Source organism: Homo sapiens, chromosome 17 (genome assembly GCF_000001405.40).
Source record: "Homo sapiens chromosome 17, GRCh38.p14 Primary Assembly".
Lineage (NCBI taxonomy): Eukaryota > Metazoa > Chordata > Mammalia > Primates > Hominidae > Homo > Homo sapiens.
In genome coordinates, this window is record NC_000017.11 from 64,462,305 (window position 1) to 64,477,482 (window position 15,178).

A 15,178-nucleotide genomic window follows, 5' to 3' on the forward strand; every position below is an offset into this window, starting at 1 on the left:
TAGGCGTGAGCCACTGTGCCGGGCCAAGAACTTGTGTTCTTAATTAAACACAAGTTTAAGGCCTGTGAACAGTGTTCATTTCGCACTGGGCGCTGCAAGTGGTGCGGCTGCTCCTGACTGCAAGTGCCTCAAGCGAGAGCTTTGCCTTGAGTGACTCTAGATCTGCCACATACGTAGGGGAGGTTCAGTGCATGAGGACAAACAAGCGTCATCCCATTAGCACAAAAGACACCTTCAAAAGGTTTACAATTGTTTGGGGCTGGAAGTATTGAAAATATTAGGTTGGTGCATAAGTAATTGCAATTTTTGCCATACTTTTATGGCAAAACCCACAATTACTTTTTTTTTTTTTTTGAAATGGAGTCTCGCTCTGTTGCCCAGGCTGGAGTGCAGTGGTGCAATCTCGGCTCACAGCAGCCTCTGTCTCCCTGGTTCAAGCGATTCTCCTGCCTCAGCCTCCTGAGTAGCTGGGATTACAGGCACCCACCACCATGTATTTTTAGTAAAGACAGGGTTTCACCATGTTGGTCAGGTTGGTCTTGAACTCCTGACCTCAGGTGATCTGCTCGCCTCAGCCTCCCAAAGTGCTGGGATTACAGATGTGAGCCATTACGCCCGGCCCACAGTTACTTTTGCACCAACCTAATATATACATATTTTTTATTTCTACATTTCTATGCTTTCTAGATTTTCAATGTAGAAGTATAATCTATTCTACTATAAGATTTTTTAAAAAACTTTATTAAACACACCAGACTCAAAAAAACAAAAACAGAAACAAAAAAGCATCATTTCTCTCTTCCCCACCTTAAGTGCTACATCCAGCAGAAAACTTGTCAATGTTATTAGAAGCCTCAGTTACAGCTTTTTTAAAAAAATGTTTTTTAGAGACGGGGTCTCACTGTGTTGCCTAGGCTGGTCTTGAACTCCTGGACTCAGGCGATCCTCCCACCTCAGCCTCCCAAAGTGCTGGGATTACAGGCATGAGCCACTGCACTCAGCCCAGTTACTGCTTTTCATTCCTCACGTCTTATGGCCACCACTGGTTAAGCCTTCAAAGTGGTTTTTTCATTTGGTACACGAGTGCAGAAGGATATGAAGATTTACACAAAAGACAGTTTGGGTCTCAGCACTGGCCCCCATCAGCAAGCTGAGGGCTGTTGGACAAGCCCCTCAGGCTGTTGCTTCTGAGCCTCAGTGTTCTGAGTTGTGGAATGGGCCATGGAGATATTGTCAGAACTGGCAAGAGAACCAATTGAGAACCATCTCCAGAGAGTCACAACTCAGAGAAGTCAGGGACTCAGTTGACATAAAACTTGAACACAGAGGTCACAAGTTATACATCTGATGCATCTTTAAGATTTTATTTTATTTCATTTCTTTTTTTTAGAGATGGGGCTTCACTGTGTTGCCCAGGCTGGAGTGCAGTGGTGCCACCATAGCTCACTGTAACCTCCCACCTTAGCCTCCCTAGTAGCTGGGAATACAGGTATGCACCACAACTCCTGGCTAATTTTTTTTTTTTTTTTTTTTTTTTGAGGCAGAGTCTCGCTCTGTTGCCCAGGCTGGAGTGCAGTGGCACAATCTCCGCTCACTGCAACCTCTGCCTCCCAGGTTCAAGCGTTTCTCCTGCCTCAGCATCCTGAGTAGCTGGGATTACAGGCGCCCACCACCACGCTAGGCTAATTTTTGTATTTTTAGTAGAGATGGGGTTTCACTATGTTGGCCAGGCTGGTCTTGAACTTCTGACCTCGTGATCCGCCCACCGCGGCCTCCCAAAGTGCTGGGGCTGGTGAGCCACCGCGCCTGACATTTTTTTTTTTTTTTTTTTTTTTGAGACAGGATCTCACTTCCATCACCCAAGGCTGGAGTGCGGTGGTGCAATCATGGCTCACTGCAGCCTTGACCTCCCAGGCCTCCTCCTGCCTCAGCTACCTGAGTAGTTGGGACCACAGGCGCGCACCACCATGCCTGGCTAATTTTTTTTTTTTTTGTAGGTTTCACCATGTTTCCCAGGCTAGTCTTGAACTCCTGGACTCAAACCATCCTCCTGCCTCAGCCTCCCAAAGTGCTGGGATTACAGTTTTTTGTTTTTTTTTTAATTACAAAATTCTTTTTAGAGACAAGGTCTCACTATGTTCCCCAGGGTGGTCTTGAATTCCTGGCTTCAAGTGATCCTCCCACCTCAGCTTCCCAAAGCACTGGGATTACAGGCGTGAGCCACTGCACCCTGGCCCACATCTCATATGTCTTAAAAACATGTTTCTCCTTCTTATAAAAAGTCCAGGTTCTTGCAAAAGTGGCATTAATATTTTTGATTACTGGCTGGAGCTACAATAGAATTCAGTGAGGCTGGCCGGGCACAGTGGCTCATGCCTGTAGTCCCAGCACTTTGATCACCTGAAGTCTGGAGTTTGAGACCAGCCTGGCTAACATGGTGAAGCCCCGCCTCTACTAAAAATACAAAAAATTAGCCAGGCATTGTGGCACATGCCTGTAATCCCAGCTATTCAGGAGGCTGAGGCAGGAGAATCGCTTGAAACCAGGATGCGGAGGTTGCGGTGAGCGGAGATTGCACCATGGCACTCCAGCCTGGGCAACAGAGCAAGACTCCGTCTCAAAAAAATACAAAAATTAGCTGGGCATGGTGGTGCACAACTGTAATCCCAGCTACTCGGGAGGCTGAGGCAGGAAAATCGCTTGAAACCAGGATGCGGAGGTTGCGGTGAGCCGAGATCACGATAGTGCCACTGCACTCCAGCCCAGGCGACAGAGCGAGACTCCATCTTAAAAAAAAAGAATTCAATAGGCCATTTACACTCTCTTGAAGATATTACAAAGCTTCCACAGACTATTCTCTTCAGCGAAGGAAAGAAAATAAGTCTGGCTAGTTCAGGCATAATCTGATAGGCAAAGCATGTTCCTCTGAAGGCCAGGAAAATAAATCAGAACAGCCCCTGGCTTGGAGGAGCGGTGTCTAGACTCCCTGTTGAGTCTATAGTTTTCCTTTGTTAGACAACAGTTTGGGCCATTGGAGCAAGTCACTCTCTGTTTCAGAACTTTGAGGGAATTCTGCTCCTTGGCCGAGGAGATGAGAAAAATGTGGCTGAATTGGTTTAATTTGATGATTCCTACCTATTTACGTAGGAAAAGCTATGAGAAATAATGTGCCCAGGGACCGTGGAGACACAGCCATGGAAGTTGGAATCTATGCAAATATCCTTGAAAAACAAGCAAGTAAGAGAACTTTGTTGCGTGTTTTGGGTGGTTTCAGGTTTTTGTCTTTTTATTTTGTTAAGGTTGTACAGACATACGGGAGTGGGGGGTGGAGCAAAAGGGATAGAGTTCAATGTCTATTGATGCCCAGTCCCACTTTCTAGGGGTAATAACCAGTTTTTTAAATCCTTCCACAGATATTCTGTGTGTATAATAAACAAATGGTAGTGATTGTAGCATATTGTAGGTATGACTTTCTACACCATGATTTTGTTTTTTTTTCATGTAACAACGTATCTTGGAGATTTTTCACATCTGTTCAGAATGATCCACACTGTGTTTCACAGTCTTTCACGGTCACCTCTCAAAGCAGGCATTGCATATTGCTTTGCAGTAAACAAGACCCAGCGCCTCGGCTGATGTATTAGTCCATTCTCATGCTACTATAAGGACATACCTGAGATGGGGTAGTTTATAAAGGAAAGAGGTTTAATTGACCCACAGTTCCGCAGGGCTTGGGAGGCCTCGGGAGACTTACAATCATGGTGGAAGGGGAAGCAAACACATCCTTCTTCCCAAGGCGGTAGGAGAGAGAAGAATGAGAGCCAAGGGAAGGGGGAAACCCCTTATAAAACCATCAGATCTTGTGAGAACTAACTCACTGTCACTAGAAGAGTATGACAGAAACCACCCCCATGATTTAATTATCTCCACCTGGTCCCTCCCATGAGATGTGGGGATTATGGGGACTACAATTCAAGATGTGATTTGGGTGAGGACACAGTCAAACCCTATCATCAGCTGACAATGGAACAGTCCCAGCCTACATGGCCACATTCCAGACGCATTGCTGAGCAATTTACCGACCTTTTCTAACACAAACGCCACCAACCCCCAATTTATGTCATTCTCATTTTACAGAGGAGGAATCTGTGCCAGAAGTGGGATCCAGGCCGTGTGTTTCCACAGCCCAAGATGGTGAGCATGTTCTGCAGAGTCTATTCCACTGCCCTCATGCGCTTAGAAATTCACATAATTGGCCCAATAATTCCTATTCCTTATCTTTTGCCCAGAGGCCAAACACTCCCAGGAGCTACAGTATGCCACCCCCGTGTTCCAGGAGGTGGCACCAAGAGAGCAAGGTGAGCCACAGGTTGGGATAAGAGGTACTGGTGAAATGAGACAGGTGGTCCCTCTGATGTCATTATATTCAGGGGCTTCAGGAGCCCGTTAATGGGGTGGATGGGAGCAATGCAGGCACACTGCAAGGAACCAATGGCAACCAGCACCCCAGCTCCTAAAAAAATCTCATCAGGAGATGGAGGGTGAGGAAGAGGGAAAGATGTGGTGGGGGAATGTCATAGAAAAAAAACCCAGAGAGGAGGATACAGGATCACTACTCAAACATTTCCTTCCTTCCTTCCTTCCCTCTCTCCCTCCCTCCCTCTCTCTCTTTCTTTCTTTCTCTTTCTGTCTCTCTTTATTTTTTCTTTTTCTTTCTTTCTCTTTCTTTCTTTCTTTCTTTCTTCTTTCTTTCTTTTCTTTCTCTCTCTCTCTCTTTCTTTTTCTCTTTCTTTTCTTTCTTTCCTGCCTTTCTCCTTTTTTTTGAGACTCTCACTCTGTTGCCCAGGCTAGAGTGCAGTGGCACAATCTCAGCTCACTGCACCCTCTACCTCTTGGGCTGAAGCAGTCGTCCCACCTTAGCCTCCTGAGTAGCTGGGACTACAGGTGTGCACCACCATGTCTGACTAATTTTTTTTTTTTTTTTGGATAGAGACAAGTATCTTGCTATATTGCCCAAGCTGGTCTTGAACTCCTGGGCTCAACCAATCTTCCTGCCTCGGCCTCCCAAAGTGTTGGGATTACAGGCATGAGGCATTATGCCCAGCTAACATTTTCAAGAATAAATTATTTAACACAGTCCAGGAAAAAATTAGTTAATACCTGGTTCTGTCAGGCCACCCAGCTACTAGAAATAGGATTTTTAAAAACAGCCTTGCTGGTCACATATCCTAAGTAAATTATTTTCCCTTTTATATTTCAGAAGCCTGTGATTCTTATAAATCTGGATATGTCTATTCTGAACTCAACTTCTGAAATTTACAGAAACAAACTACATCTCAGGGTAAGATGCTTTTTATGAAGCTGATTTCCATGAACAAAAAGCAAACTTGAGGCTGAGGCAGGTGGATTACTTGAGGTCAGGAGTTCGAGACCAGCCTGGCCAACATGGCAAAAACCCCATCTCTACTAAAAATACAAAAATTAGCCAGGTGTGGTGGTGTGTGTGTGTAGTCCCAGCTACTCGGGAGGCTGAGGCAGGAGAATCACTTGAGCCCGGGAGGCAGAGGTTGCAGTGAGCCAAGATCGTGCCACTGCACTACAGCCTGGGCGACAAGAGCAAGACTTCATCTCAAAAAAAAAAAAAAAAAAAAAAAAGATATTGATATTCATTGATGTTCATGATTTAGCTAGCCCTCCAGATTTAGCTAATGCCAAAGGTGTGCCTTGATGTGCTGCCAGGGAGAGAGCCCACAGAGTTGAGTTGTGGGGGAGGGAGAATGTTTTAGTCCCCTAGGGCTGCTGCCACAAATGACCACAAGTTGGTGGCTTAGAGCAACCATTTCTGTAGAGCCATGCTCCCTCCAAAAGTTGTGGGGAGGACCCTCCTTGCCTCTTCCAGCTTCTGGGGCTCCAGACATTGCTTGTGGTTGCCTCCCTTCAACTTCTGCCTCTGTCTTCACGTGGCCTTTTATATTCTCTCTTGTCTCTCTCTTTTTTTTTTTGAGATGGAGTCTCACTCTGTTGCCCAGGCTGGAGTTCAGTAGCGCGATCTTGGCTCACTTCAATCTCCATCTTCCCAGTTCAAGCGATTCTCATGCCTCGACCTCCCGAGTAGCTGGGATTACAGGTGCCCGCTACCACGCCCAGCTAATTTTTGTATTTTTAGTAGAGATGGGGTTTCACTATGGTGGCCAGGCTGGTCTTGAACTCCTGACCTCAGATGATCTGCCTGCCTCGGCCTCCCAAAGTGCTGGAACTACAAGCCTGAGCCACCGTGCCCGGCCCTGAATCGCTTTAGTAAATAAAGGGTCTCCAAGAATAAATTCATCCGAACATGCATCCTTCTCTGAGCCTTCTGACTCTTCAATATTCTGCTCACACCTGTCTGGCATCTCCATGATCTTTTCCACTGGTCAGCACTGTCCAATAGAAATATAATGTCAGCCACATGGGCACTTGTCACTCTTTCTAGTAGACACAATAAAAAAATGAAAAGATGGCCGGGCACGGTGGCTCACGCCTATAATCCCAGCACTTTGGGAGGCCAAGGTGGGTGGATCACTTCAGGTCAGGAGTTCAAGACCAGCTTGGCCAACATGGTGAAACCCCGTCTGTACTAAAAATACAAAAAAATTAGCTGGGCACAGTGGCGGGCACTTGTAATTCCATCTACTTAGGAGGCTGAGGCATGAGAATCGCTTAAATCTGGTAGGCAGAGGTTGCAGTGAGCCAAGATCGCACCACAGCACTCCAGCCTGGGCAACAGAGTGAGACCCTGTGTTAAGAAAAGAAAAGAGAAAAGAAGAAAAGAAAAGAAAAAGGAAAAGGAAGGAAGGAAGGAAAGAGAGAAAAGAAGAGAAACAGGTGAAATGAATTGGAATAATATATTTTATTTAACCCAGCATATCCAAAATCCTATCATTTTAACAAGTACAACTACCCTATTTCCCTCAGAATGTAGCATTGCCTCTGGTTTGCTGTGGATCCTGTATTGGACCACTCAGCTGTAGAGTCCTGTGGGATCCAAGCTTCAAGGAGACCCATCATGCATGTTTAGGGCCAGTTCCAGGTGTCCTTGACATGACACTAAACCTCCATTTCCTTTGTTTTGGAGACGGAGTCTGGCTCTGTCGCCCAGGTTGGAGTGCCATGGTACGACCTTGGCTCACTGCAACCTCCGCCTCCCGGATTAAAGCGATTCTCCTGCCTCAGCCTCTCAAGTAGCTGGCATTATAGGCGTGTGCCACCATGCCCGGCTAATTTTTGTATTTTGTAGTAGAGACAGGGTTTTGCCATGTTGGCCAGGCTGGTCTTCAACTCCTGACCTCAAGTGATCCGCCCACCTCGGACTCCCAAAGTGCTGGGATTACAGGCGTGAGCCACCTCGCCTGGCCCTCCATTTCCTGATCTAGTCTTATATCCACGCTCACCACCTCAGCACGCTCAGACCCACGCTGCTGTGGGCTCCTCTGGCTCCTGGAAGAGTGCGTCCGCAGATGCTGCAGTCTTTGTGTGGCTCAGCAATTGCCACTCACATCAGGAACTGCCTTTACCCTGTCAGGCTCTACTGAGACCCGACCCTGGTTATTAAGCTATAGGGGAGACAAGGATGGATCTTAAAGAAGACAAGCAAAATGTAGTGAAGCAAATAGAATGGTGGTTCCTGGGGGATGGGGGCAGGGGACAACGAGGAGTGACTGGCTAACAGATACAGCGTTTCAGTTTGGAAAGACAAAAAAGTTCTGGAAAAAAGATGGAAGGTGGTGATGGTTGCACAATAATATGAGTTTTGTTGTTGTTGTTTTTTGAGACAGAGTCTCTCTCTGTTGCCCAGGCTGGAGTGCAGGGGCACGATTTCGGCTCACTGCAACCTCTGCCTCCCGGGTTCAAGCGATTCTTGTGCCTCAGCCTCCCAAGTAGCTGGGATTACAGGCACCCACCACCATGCCCAGCTAATTTTTGTATTTTTAGTAAAGATGAGGTTTCACCATGTTGGCCAGGCTGGTCTCAAACTCCTGACCTCAAATGATTGGCCTGCCTTGGCCTCCCAAAGTGCTGGGATTACAGGCATGAGCTATTGCGCCCGGCAATATGAATGAATGTTTTTAATACCATTGAATTACACACCTAAAATTGGTTAAAATGGTAAAAAATTTTATGTTATGTATAACTTACCACAATAATTTAAAAAATATTGTGAAGCGCCTGCCTCATGTGAGGTCTTCTAATAAGAGGGGCTGTTCTCCTTCTCAAGAGCGCTCGCGGGCATTGGGAGTTTCTTATTCTCAAATGTCCACATCCCAAGGCCTACCCCGTCCCTGTCAGTGTCAGAAGTTAGCAGAGCAGAACTGCTAGATGTGCTCACTCCATCTCCTCCATGGTTGGCCCACCCTTTCGATCAGATCCTGGAATTGGCTTTCAGCACAGCCTTCCAGCTGGCTGTGATAAATGAGAGTGGCTTAAACCCTGTCATCAGGGTTTCACAGCTTGCCCTGAACCGTAGCCTCTCATTTTCTCCTTGCAAATCTTCTAAGGCAGCTAAGAGAAGCCAATTAACTTCACAATCCACATAATTAGCATTGCCCCAAACCTTTCAAGTGCTGGAATGCTGGCGTCCACTAGTGCCTCATTTCTTTCTAAACCTCATTCCACATGGCAGGGGAAGGTCTTAGGAATTGTGGAGCTGTGGCGTTCTAAGGGTTCTCACTGCCTACCTATCACCAGCAAGGGAGTCCTTGTTGCCATCCATCCCTAGGGGGTAATTTTGTTCCCTGAGGCTGCTTTCTAGGGACTTCTGGTCGCTTGTTTTATCCTGGACCAGACCTGAAAGCAGAGCCTGAAATAAGGCCTTCTATGCACATCATTTATGTAGGAGGTGGCCCTAGGAAGCAGGCCCAATGCGCCATGGGAAAAACCAGTACCAGGGTGTTTTGCTGAGTTGAGCACTGTGGTGGGCAGCTGGACATGAGCCCACTGGAATCTTCTGAAGAGCCCAAGAGCCTCTTCTCAGTATTGTCCACTTGAGGATTGATAGTGAGAGGCATTTATCCACTGGTGTCCAACGCTCACTGGTTGAGGATCACCCCAGAAAGCGACACCTCCCCCACTTCTAGACTAGCATGTGGGTATTCCAAGCAGGCTTACCTCAGTGTCTCACCCCAGGCACTGCAAACACCCCAGGACAGAAAGTGAACATGTGTATTGTGCAATTGAAGCAAGACACTATCAGTGCAAAGTGAGTAGACCCTCAGATGCTGCTGGGTCAGAGGGAAGGCCCAGGGATATGACACAGGACACAGAGGTGGCAGATACACCACCTCCCAACATTTCCTCTATCACAGCAACTAGAACAATGGCAACAATAGGGGTGGGTGTGGTGGCTCACGCCTATAATCCCAATACCCTGGGAGGCCAAGGCAGAAGGATTGCTTGAGCCCAGGAGTTCAAGACTAGCCTGGGCAACTTGGCGAAACCCTGTCTCTACAAACATATTTGTATGTGATTGAACAAGTAGAACAATGGAACGGAAAGTCCAGATGTAGTTCTAAATATGTACAGGAACTTAGTATAGGATAAATATGGCATCTTAAATCAATGGGGAAAAGATGGATTATTCAACATATTGTAAAAACTTGAGAATCACATTAAAAAAGTTGGACTCCTACCTCATTCTTTACAACAAAATTAATTCTGATAGATGTAGTCACAGAAGAGCTAGAAGAATATGCAGGGGATTTAAAAATAATCTTGAAGTGGGGAGGACTTTTATAGGTATGACTCACAACCCAGAAAACATAAAGGATTGTTAAATTTAATTAGATAAATCATTTAATTAGATGAAACATTTAAAAATTACATTTAGAAATCATAAACTAAATCCAAAGAATAACTAGGGGCCGGGCGCAGTGGCTCACGTCTGTAATCCCATGGGGCAGGTGGATCACCTGAGGTTGGGAGTTTGAGACCAGCCTGTCCAACACGGTGAAACCCCGTCTCTACTAAAAATACAAAAATTAGTTGGTGTGGTGGCACATACCTGTAGTCCCTGCTACTGGGGAGGCTGAGGCATGAGAATTGCTTGAACCTGGGAGGTGGAGGTTGCAGTGAGCCAAGATCGCGCCACTGCATTCCAGCCTGGGCGACAGAGCAAGACTCCATCTCAAAAAAAAAAAAAAAAAAAAAAAAAAAAAAAAGAATAACTAGGGAGAAAACACCATGATGTGTTGCATAATAACATTTCAGTCATTCATGGACCAAATATAAAATGGGGTCCCAAAAAACTATAATACCGTGTTTTTACTGTACCTTTTCTATGTTTAGACACATTTAGATACACAAATACTTACCATTGTGCTACAATTGCCTAGTGTTCAGTAGCATGCTGTACAGGTTTATCCCTAGGAAGAATAGACTATCCCACACACCCTAGGCGTGTAGCAGGCTATGCCATCTAGGTTTGTGTGAGTACACTCTATGCTGTTCAAACAGTGACCTCCACTGTTAGGTGAAGCATGACTGTATTTTGAGCCCAGGTCTCAGATATTGTATGAAGTTTCATAATATTATGAGCTTTTACAAATCATTAAGAGAAAGACCAATAATCCAGTAGAAAACTGGGAAAAGGTGGCATCTGCAGGGTAACACCAGGGCAGCACAGAAATCTTGCTGGGATGAGGAGCTGCAAACATGTGTGGTCGACTTTTTGGCCTTCTGCCTCTTCTACTCTCAGGGATGGGGGATTACAACTAAAGAAGTTGTCTTTTGGCCGGGCGTGGTGGCTCACGCCTGTAATCCCAGCACTTTGGGAGGCCGAGGCGGGTGGATCACAAGGTCAGGAGATCAAGACCATCCTGGCTAACACGATGAAACCCCGTCTCTACTAAAAAATTCAAAAACATTGGCCGGGCGAGGTGGCGGGCACCTGTAGTCCCAGCTACTCGGGAGGCTGAGGCAGAAGAATTGTGTGAACCCGGGAGGCGGAGCTTGCAGTGAGCCCAGATCGCGCCACTGCACTCCAGCCTGGGCGACAGAGGAAGGCTCCGTCTCAAAAAAAAAAAAAAAAGAAGAAGTTATCTTTTCTCAGTGTTGCTTCTCCCTAAGGATTTAAAGGGGAGACCTGGCCAGAGGAATCATCAACAGTGGATTTGTGATGACTGGAGTTCATTTCCTTCTTTCTCAACTGTCCTGGAAGGAAATGGACTAGTGCCTTACCTCTGACTCTTCCGCAGCACACACCCACCACCAGAGACAGTAACTGAGATCTGCAGTAGCACAGAAACTTACAGGTTAGAAAAATTAGACACCTAAGGATTTCATGACTCCAGACCTGTTTCCTTAGCATAATACCACACCAGTAGGAGAAATACAACTTACGAAATTTCTTTGTAAATAAATTCTATAACATTTTGGGTAAAAATTTATCATAAAAAAATTATTAAAAGCAATTGGGTTGGAAGGAAGTTCTGTCAAAATACAATCCAGGTGTGCAGTTCTCTGATAAATTTAGCAGTGGTTACTACTGAGGCAGTCTCAAAAAAAAGTGTAAAAGGACTTTAAGGGGTGATGAAAATTTTCTACATTGCCTTTGTGGAGATGGTTATACATTTGTCAATACTCATCAATTTGTACATTTAAAAGAGGTAAATTTATTGTATGTAAATTGTATCTTAATAAAACTGATTAAAACAGACATACAAACCCCAGACCCTCTGCAGTCCTGAATTTGAGTGGAAAATATTGGTGTGAACTCATAATTTATTTTTCATTTGTTATTATTATTATTATTTTGGAGATGGAGTCTCACCCTGTTGCCCAGGCTGGAGTGCAGTGGCATGATCTTGGCTCACTGCAATCTCTGCCTCCCAGGTCCAAGCAATTCTCCTGCTTCAAACTCCCAAGTAGCTGGGATTACAGGCGCCTGCCACCATGCCCAGTTAATTTTTGTATTTGTAGAAGAAACGGGGTTTCACCGTGTTGGCCAGGCTGATCTTGAACTCTTGACCTCAAATGATCCACCCACCTCAGTCTCCCAAAGTGCTGGGATTACAGGCGTGAGCCACCGTGCCCGGCCTTATTTTTTATTTTTTTTGAGACAGGGTCTTGCTCTGTTGCCCAGGCAGGAGTACAGTGGTGTGATCCAAGCTCCCTGCGGCTTTGACTCCCCGGGCTCAAGCCGTCCACACCCATCAGCTTCCCAAGTAGCTGGGACTATAGGCCTGAGCCACTATGACTGGCTAATTTTCAAAGCTTTTTTTTTTAGAGATGTGGTCTATGTTGCCTAGGCTGGTCTCGAACTCCAGGACTCAAGTGATCCTCCTGTCTCAGCCTCCCAAAGTATTGGGATTACAGGTATGAGCCACCACATCTGGCCAATTTTTTTTTCAGGGAGGAAATACACACTCTCCTATATTTGCTAGCTCTTAATACTGGAAAGGCCTAGAAACAAAGACTGCCTTCTATCAATGAGCATTCCTAGTATCCAAAGTATGGTGTCCACTTTTTTCCAATAAAAAAAACCCCAGAGCTCCTTGGAATATACAATCTCTACAGTAGTTATTAGAAGGAAATTATCAAAGACTAGTAAGGTGTGTCAAAAAGACTTGAGGCTGGCCAGGCACAGTGGCTCACACTTGTAATTCCAACACTTTGGGAGGCTGAGGTGGGCAGATCACCTGAGGTCAGGAGTTCAAGACCAGCCTGGCCAATATGGTGAAACTTTACTAAAAATACAAAAAATTAACCACGTGTGGTAGCAGGCGCCTGTAATCCCAGCTACTCAGGAGGCTGAGGCAGGGAGGCTTTAACCCGGGAGGCAGAGGTTGCAGTAGGCCAAGATCGCACCACTGCACTCCAGACTGTGTGACAGAGCAAGACTGTCTCAAGAAAAAAAAAAAAAAAGACTTGAGGCCAACTTGAGGTTCCCATTGGCCAAAGATGGGACAATTTGAGCATCAAAAGGAATAATTACTTTAAATAATCCAGCATTTATCCTACCTTTCCCATACCTCTAGGTAAGCAAATACTCGGTGAGAAGCTTTTCTTCATAGAAGTACTCTAGCAAACGGCCGGGTGCGGTGGCTCATGCCTGTAATCCCAGCACTTTGGGAGGCCGAGGCGGGCGGATCACCTGAGGTCGGGAGTTCAAGACCAGCCTGACCAACATGGAGAAACCCCATCTCTACTAAAAATACAAAATTAGCAGGGCATGGTGGCGCATGCCTGTAATCCCAGCTACTTGGAAAGGCTGAAGCAGGAGAATCACTTGAACCTCGGAGGCGGAGGTTGCAGTGAGCTGAGTTTGCGCCACTGTACTCCAGCCTGGGCAACAAGAGTGAAACTCCAACTCAAAAAAAAAAAAAAACAACAAAAAAAGTACTCTAGCCAACAAAGAAGGAAGATAGAATATCACCATTTTGCAAGCTTTAATGAACTCACCACTTGAGGTATTAATCAATGGTTGCTGGCCACCCCAAAAAAGAAACAAACAGACACTACTACCACTTCCTTTTTTTTTTTTTTTTTTTTTTTGAGACAGCGTCTCACTGTGTCACCCAGGCTGGAGTACAATGGCGCGATCTTGGCTCACTGCAACCTCTGCCTCCTGGGTTCAAGCGATTCTCCTGCCTCAGCCTCCCAAGTAGCTGGGATTACAGGCGCCCACCACCACGCCCAGCTAATTTTTTGTATTTTTAGTAGTTTCACCATGTTGGCCAGGCTGGTCTCAAACTCCTGACCGCAGGTAATCCACCTGCCTCAGCCTCCCAAAGGGTTGGGATTACAAGCGTCAGCCACTGGCCAACTCAGTGCTATTCTTATTTCATCTCCCACCACTTAAAAAAGTTTGTTTTAAACAGGAGAATTATAAAGCAAGTCTCAATTACCATAAATGTATGTATCTGTCAGACAAGGATTTTTTTAAAAAGAAAAATATAAACATACTACCATTATCACACCCAACAAAATTGTAAATAATTCCTTGATATCATGTAGTGTTATTTTTTTAATGTGATAATAGTGTGGTTATTAACAAAAGATCCTTAAATATTTCCAGATTAAATGGTAGCTGCTATCTGCCTTGAAATAATATTCAAGGAGGCCAGGTGAGGTGGTTCATGCCTGTAATCCCCATATTTTGGGAGGCTGAGACAGGAGGATCACTTGAGCCTAGGAGTTTGAGACCAGCCTGGGCCACATAGTGAGACCCTGTCTCTTAAATTAATAAATAAATGTAAATAAATAAATTACTGATATAATATGGAAGGGTGGTATTAGTGGATGAGGTGGGACTGGCCAAAGGTTGATTGTTGTTGGTGCTAGATGATCACTACATAGAATTAGTACAATTATATGTCTGCTTTTAAAATTCTCCATAATAAAAAAAAGCATAAAATAACCAAAACAAGGCTAGGTGCAGTGGCTCAAAATTGTTATCCCATCATTTTAGGAGGTCAAGGCAGGAGGACTACTTGAGGCTCGGAGTGAAAGATCAGCTTAGCCAACATAGTGAGACCCTGTCTCTACAAAAAAAATTAAAATTAAAATAAAAAAAAAAAGAGAAAAACCTACCAAGTAAAATCAATTAAGTCAGTCAAACTTTTGAAATATTTTACAGGCACTATCAGTTGGAATTTTTGTCAAGTTGGTAACAATGGGATATTTTACACAATCATATCAACACATAAAAGTTAAAAGATTTCTTATAAACATAGATATTAGACAGGAAACAAACTACAATATATGACATCTAACATATATTTTAGTTGCTTTTCAAAAATCCGTAAATACTCTAAGTTTTAAAAGTTTAGTTTTAGGTTAATTTTTGATATCTGACAGTATAGATGTGGCAGATTCCATAAAGACCTTTTCCTTCCTGGTAACAAAGCCCATTTCTGAGAGAGTAAGATACTATTGCAGCCTCAAGGGATAAATTGCGTTTGATCTAAATCAGATCATTTTCATTCCCTTGGATGGTGATTTGCCTAGAAATTATCATGTGATTTAGTTCTGACCAAAGAGATGTAAAGACATCTCCCGACTGGGATGTCTGGAAAAGTTTTTACTTCCCTAATTTAAAAGGGAAGAGTGTTGGCTGACTAGCTCTTGTCTCTTTAACTTTTCTCCTAACTAGAATGATAATTAGGCTGGAAATACAGCAGCCACCTAAGATCCCGAAGCAACA

At 44.8% G+C, this 15,178-nt stretch overlaps 1 protein-coding gene across 13 annotated transcripts in view, besides 1 other annotated feature; it reads left to right on the forward strand.

Annotated features, from left to right (window-relative positions):
• The window catches only part of MILR1 (mast cell immunoglobulin like receptor 1), a 48,242-nt gene that overhangs the window by 13,190 nt on the left and 19,874 nt on the right, over nucleotides 1-15,178 (forward strand). For 4 of the 13 annotated variants that reach the window (XR_002957990.2, XR_002957989.2, XM_024450708.2 and 1 more), the window contains exons 6-9: nucleotides 3,148-3,237; nucleotides 4,138-4,194; nucleotides 4,290-4,358; nucleotides 5,261-5,341. Coding sequence is in view for 11 of the 13 variants with exons in the window: in XM_024450708.2 (XP_024306476.2) it covers nucleotides 3,148-3,237; nucleotides 4,138-4,194; nucleotides 4,290-4,358; nucleotides 5,261-5,313 (269 nt within the window). In the remaining 2 variants the exon portion in view is untranslated. Of the gene's footprint in view, nucleotides 1-3,147; nucleotides 3,238-4,137; nucleotides 4,195-4,289; nucleotides 4,359-5,260; nucleotides 6,340-7,276; nucleotides 9,665-11,100; nucleotides 11,703-15,178 lie in introns of those variants that run through there. The other 9 variants (NM_001085423.2, NM_001291316.2, NM_001291317.2 and 6 more) reach the window with 6 other exon arrangements.
• Nucleotides 10,886-11,386: an enhancer, noted in NCBI's record as "H3K4me1 hESC enhancer chr17:62469307-62469807 (GRCh37/hg19 assembly coordinates)". NCBI's record gives its function as "activates a minimal SCP1, AML or CMV promoter by ChIP-STARR-seq in primed H9 embryonic stem cells {active_cell/tissue: H9 hESC(primed)}" and the evidence as "EXISTENCE:reporter gene assay evidence [ECO:0000049][PMID:30033119]".